At 36.8% G+C, this 6,608-nt stretch overlaps 1 non-coding gene across 1 annotated transcript; it reads left to right on the plus strand.

Annotated features, from left to right (window-relative positions):
- Positions 1–332: 332 nt before the first annotated feature.
- LOC124900539 (small nucleolar RNA SNORD78) lies at positions 333–397 on the plus strand. Its single transcript, XR_007088730.1, has one exon. It is a non-coding gene; the product is annotated as a small nucleolar RNA SNORD78 (small nucleolar RNA).
- Positions 398–6,608: the final 6,211 nt, after the last annotated feature.

The raw sequence follows: 6,608 nt of genomic DNA on the forward strand, positions 1-6,608 counted from the left end.
TCTTCCCTTTGAAATATTTATTTTCAGGATGGTAAACTTTTTATTCACATAATAACTATTTTTAGGGATAAGAAGGTCAGAAGCACTAACTTTCTTCATTCCTTTCCTACCACATGTTTAGAATTCACAAACCAGCTTAACGGCTTAATAAAAGATTGAATTCTCTTTCTTCTCCTTCCTCGAAATCTTCTCAAGACAGTCTAAAAAGCATTTCCCAGGTTTAATGTCAAAATAGAAATTAGCAACTCAGGGCTGAACTCCTAGGAACCCTCATTCTCTGTGAGCTCTGGAACCAGGCTCTATTTTGAAAATTGTGGAAAATCAAAGTTTCTCTGTAATGATGTTGCTCAAATATCTGACCTGAAATGATTATATAGACCAATTTAATACTGAAGAATAAAAGCTTATCATAAAATGAGAAGACATTAAACAATACTCTGATGGTAAGGATTTCATGTAAGAATGTATGGTTTTGATCTCTTAGAACAAAATTGACATTGAACTAAGACATGCCAACCACTGAGGAGTAGCATGAGTTTTAGTCACAGCATCTTGAGTTTGGTGAGTTACAATAGAGAGCCTGTGTCACTCAGCTCCACAAATTCTACCACCATGAAAAGTTTCCAGGGAGTGGTAGAATATGTTTGTCCTCTTTTGCTTGCAACCCTGGTAAACTGCTCAAGAGGAATTTTCTCATTCCAGATGAGAACAAATAATGCCCTTTCTCTTCTAGACAAGTGACTATTTCTTCCCCCAAAACCACAGATGCACAGAATAGTGATAAAAATACAAACTTATATGCTGCCTCCTATTGAAACTTCCAAAGACCAAAAGAGGAAAAAAATTGTGAGGGGGCTTAGCCAAAAGACTTACTGAGGCTATACAGATTATCTTACATTCAGGTAATATATGATGCTGGTGTTGGGCTGATACATAGTGATGCTGGGGTAGGGTTGGAGGTAAGTATTATACTAATAGTCACATATTCTCAGAAATCTGGGTCCTTTGAGGTCTGGCCAGAAAAGGAATAGCAGTTCTGTCAGAGGACATAGTAACTGCAAGAAGAGTAGCACAGACTAGGTGCATATTCTGATGCCAGAAGACCTTTTCAGACAGGGTCAGCCTGTAACAGAAATGGCTTTTAATACAGGACAGTCCAGATTCCCAATTGTGTTGACATACTGGGCTACCCAAGCACATCACAGGTACAAAGGAATTAGGATGCTGGGGCTTATTTGGGCTAAATTACTCACAGGTGCTTCTAACAAAGGTGGCAGATTGAACATACACATTTACCTCTATATCCTCCCTAAATCCCATGAAATGACCAAAAACGTGTGAAATAAACCCAAAAGACAAAAGAATTGAATAGGAGATGACAGCGACCCAATTTTAGACCTGAAAAGCAAATGAGCAAATGGTTTCTCATTGAACAAACCAAATAGAAAAATGAAAACAGAATATGCAAAGAAGCAAAAAATAAATAAATAAAGCAAGCCAATTCACATTACAGAACACAAAGTTTAGAATTTGCAGACACTGGCGAGTTCTGAAAGTCAGGGTTCCCTTGGGGATGAAAATCACAAGAGCAAAGTATTTTGTTTTGAAAACAGACATTTCCATTGTGTCTAAAATAGTGTTTGGCATATTGTAAGCACTTGGTAAATATTTGTTGAAGAAATGAATTAATAAAGTCAAGTCTTTCTAAAGAACAGCTAGACCCCCACCACTTTATAGGACTGTAAGTTTAATTACTGAAGAGATAGAACAGAAGGGCTCTGGGTTTAGAAACATCAGATACAGCAGACGGTGAAGGTAAAGATAAAATTTGTTTCTGTACCCTAAAGTATGAGAACTATCCCTCTCTGTTTGCCCCAGAGAATACTACAGGTTTATTCTCTGGGAAAACAATTTTAAGAGGAGAGATCCACAGATACTGACAGAAATTCCTAAATAAGCTGCACAAACAAACCTACCCATAATGAATCTCAACAAACATATTTTCCTCTCTCTCTTACACATATACCCCCCTTTAATCAAGTTTAGTGGCTCACTACTAAAGTCATGGATTACCACACATTTGAGAAAAGTCCCTAAGATAACAGAGATCAAAATAAAAAAAAAAAGATAGGAAAAATCGCAAAGAAACTTGGAAAATAGAGACAGTGTGGAAGGCTGAATACAATTAGCAGGGGAAAAATAACCCAGCCATGTTATGCTCAGAGAAATAATTGAGGTTGCTGCTTCCATGAAAGAAGCGATGATTACACAAAAGAGAACATTTAGAAAACAAAGGAGTGCTCTTGAAATAAAATACAAACATGCCAAAGGAAAATAAAAATTCAGTAGAAATTTTAGAAAATTGACCAAATCTCAAAAAAAGACCCAAAATACAAAAAAGAAAGGAAAGGAAGAGAAAGGAAAGCAAAGGAAAGGAGAGGAAAGGAAAGGAAAGGAAGAAAAAAAGAAAGAAAGAGAGAGAAAGGAGGGAGGGAGGGAGGAAGGAAGAAAATAAAGAGAAAAAAAGTAAAAGAAAGAAGAAAGAAGCTAGACACTGTGGCCCATGTTAGTAATCCCAGAGATTTGGGAGGCTGAGGCAGGAGGATTGCTTAAGGCTAGGAGTTTGAGACCAGCTTGGGCAACACAGTGAGACCACAAACAAATTTTAAATAATTAGTCAGGCACGGTAGTGTGTGCCTGTAGTCCGAGCTACTCAGGAGGCTGAGGCAGAAGAATTGCTTGAACCCAGGAGTTCAGGTTTACAAATAGTGTAGTGATTATGCCATTACGCTCCAGCCTGGGTGGCAGAGCAAGACTCTGTCTCAAAAGAAAAAAATAAAAACAAAAACAAAAAGCAAGAAAGGAAAGAAGAAAGAAAAGAAGAAACTGCAAGGAGAGAAGAAAATTCTAAAGTTGGTTCAGGCGATCTAATATAAAAAGAAGAGAATTCTAGAAAGAGAAAAGATAAACAAAATTGAATAAGTACAATTGTTGGAGAAATATTTCAAGAAAAGACCCACCATATTGTTTGCAAAAAAGAATAAAGAGTGAACCACACTGAGACACATAAATACGAAAGTTCTGAACCTTGAATACAAAAAGAAGATCCTAAGCACTTCAAGAGGAAATAGGAGGTCACATGCACAAGGTAAGAAGTCAAAAGTGCTTCAGAAATCTCTAAACAAAACAAAAACAAGTAAAAATGAAAACACTAGAAACTAGAAAACAAGAGTACATTGCTTTCAAAGTTTTGAGAAAAATGATTTATGATCTAGAAGTTCCTTTCAGCCAGGTTATCAAATTTCAAACAAAAACAAAAACACTCAAGCACGTTTTCTTTGGAAGTTCCTAAACAATTTATTCCCCAAATGAAAGCATAAGTCAAAAAAGTGTAAGACACAGAATCCAGGTGCTCTAGCAAGGGAAAATCTGTAGAACGTTTGCAGAATGACAGTTGTGCCACAGGCCCATTCAAATTAGAGTAGGGCAACAGGAGAGAAGAGAACAAAGCTGAGGAGAGGACAGGATGGGAGGGGAAGGGAGAGGAGGGGAGGGGAGTGGAAGGGAGGGGAGGGGCAGCGAAGGGAAAGGGAGAGGGAAGGAGAGGAGAGAAGGAAAGGCGGGAGGGAGGGAGGAAGGAAGGAAGGGAGGAGTGAAGGAGAAAAAATAAAGAGAAAGGAAAGAAAAGGAAAGGAAAGGAGGAAGGAAGGAAGAAAGGAAGGAGAGAGAGAAAGAAAGAAAAAGAAAGAAAGAAAGAAAGAAAGAAAGAAAGAAAGAAAGAAAGAAAGAAAGAAAGGAAGGAAGGAAGGAAGGAAGGAAGGAAGGAAGGAAAAGAAAAAAGAAATCAAGGAAGAAATGAAAGCAGGAAGGAAGGAAGAGAGGGAGGGAGGGAGGGAAGAAAGAAAGAAGGAAGGAAGGGAAAAAAGAGGAAGGAAGGAACTGATGTGTTTGAATATATAGAGAGAAGATTTTCAAATGTTTGAGAATTTAGAAAGAAATTACTAATAGGTAGATAGAAACCTAAGCAAAGGTTAAAAAGAGGTAATTATTAACTCCAGGAAAGCAAGAAATAAAATACTCTTTTCTACATAACATAGTGTAAATCCAGATTTTCTCAAGTCATAAAAAGTCCCATCTGCAGATAATATATATACGATCAAATGGGTCCACACACTGAATATTGATCAAGCCATATTTGATGTAACTTTATTGATTGTATTAGAGAATATGTGCCTGTGTGTTTGGAAAGAGGGCTGAAAGATGCTTCACGAGTCTTCATTTTGCACAGTAGAAAAGAAACAGATATTCCATAAAATTCACTAAATGTAAAATTTGCCCACAAGCATCCTACATAGAAATAAGAAAGTATGTAATCTAGAAAAGTTTTAAAAATGATAAAAATTACCTCCTCTGAGGAATGGGAGTTTGTATGACTCGCAAAGTACAGTAAAAGGACTACTTATTTTGGCTATGAGCCTTGCAGAACTATTTGATCAGTGATACTCCATGCAAGTATTTCTTTGATAAAAACAAAACCAAATTTAAAGAACTCGCCAATTCTTTCGACATGAATCCTAAAAATGGCATTTATTAAATATAGCTCCGTTGCCTAAATTCATCATCTTTTTGTACTAGCCAACCTTTTATATAAGGTTGAAATGCTTCAATGGCCTTACGGAAGTCTTAGAGACACCTGAACAAGACACAGCTACAAGACAGCCTTTTTAATACACAATTTTCAGCAAAATGACAAATACACAACAACCTGTTTAATATGGTCCCACATGTGAGAGAAAAAAACTGATATATTACACACACAAACACGTGCTTGCTTGCATGCACACACACGTTTGTATATTCATAGAAACATTTTAGAAGTATCAGCAAGAACTTCTAAGCCTGATAAATTTCTGCACGTTAGATTTAGATCCTAGGGCTCAGGGAGACATACTATTACATAACTTCAGTAAAGTTTGGATTTGTTGTTTACTGTATGCATATTTTAGCTTTTTAATCTAAACAAGTCTCTACTTTTAAAAAATAAGGTTATAGAAAGTTGGAGAGAAAAAATAATGTAATGTACATAAGATATATGATCACTTCTATTTTTGTCTATTTATCTATTGAATACATTTCAGTACAATTGTCCTCTATTACAGATTATTTTTGAAGAATACGCTTGTGACTAATGTACAAAATAGCAAATTTGAAAGAAAAAAATTAAATTCATCAATATGGGTGTATTTTTTCTTTCTCTCCCTTCTTAATTCCATGAAAACATGTTTGGCATATTTGTTTATAATATTGTAATCTAACTTAATATTCACTATTTCAAACTCCATGTTTCTGTGGATTCTATCTTATAGGGTCTATGTGTTGTTCTATTATGTTGATGCACAGTGTCTCTTGTAACCATTTCCCTACTGCAATTTGACTTTTTCATACTAATGTGCTCAATTTTTTTTAGCCTTGCATAGTTTGAGTTCTGTTTTCTGTCAGCTTACCAGTAGGTGGTGCTGAGTAGTAGCTATAAATAATCCGGTTTTAGAATACGTGCTCCACTAAAATCCTTCCTCTAGAGTGACAGCACTGAGCCAAATCAGGAAGTGGTTTAAACTGGTTTTCCAGTAGTGGGATGGGTTTCCTCTATTTCATTCATATTATCTCGTATTCTTCCTCTTCGGAGTAATTCCGAACATGGTTTCAAGATGACTGCCTGCAAACAGGGTTACTGTCTGTGGTTCTGACAAAGAGAAGATGCAATGCTCCAGAAGGTGTCTTACTTCCTGACAAAGCACCTGCCACAGGTTTAACCACAATCTTCTGCTGCAATCAATCACTGCAAACTTTCAACTGTCATGCACTAAGCTTTGTGATATGCCCTGTCCTGAGTCTTTCCCATGGACCATTCCAAAATACTTCTCACAACACAATCAGATCCATCTTATTACCCAACTGTATAGATGAGGAAACCAAGACTTAGGCAGTGAAGTGATCCTTTCTACTTCCTGCAACAAATATACTTAATGGAAGCAGTCTGCACTTGGAGCCAGAGAGACATAGGTTGGGTTCTGACTCCTTCATCAACTAATTGTTTATCTCCAGCAAGGAGTTTAACATCACCAAACATCTGTTTACTGATTTGTAAAATAGGAATATTAATGTGTGACCCTCAAAGCTGTCTTGATATTAATTGAGAATACATATGAATGGTCTTTAACACAGTGAGTCATAGGCCCACTACTAAAACATTGCAAATGCAAAGGAAAAACCACAACAAAAACTAATTTCTTCTTCTCTTCCCTTCCTGACTCAAGTGCTTTCTCAACTCCCATACCTGTCTCCTCCCTTCTAACTTAAGAACCAGAGATTTTTCCCCCTCTACTATCCTCAAATTTTCTGTTCCTTTAATTTGCAGTAGAGCATACCACTTCTCACTTTGCATTAATTGCCACTTTCCAGGAGAAAGAAGAGGCAATAATTTAAATCACAATTTCCTGATGCTAAACAAGTGTACCATGTTCTCCCAGAACTAGCACTTGGGGGAAGCAATGTGTCCTGGATGTAGCCCAACCCTGTCAATCTAGGCTGATGTTCTATCTCTATTA

Source organism: Homo sapiens, chromosome 2 (assembly GCF_000001405.40).
Source record: "Homo sapiens chromosome 2, GRCh38.p14 Primary Assembly".
In the NCBI taxonomy this organism is placed as follows: Eukaryota; Metazoa; Chordata; class Mammalia; order Primates; family Hominidae; genus Homo; species Homo sapiens.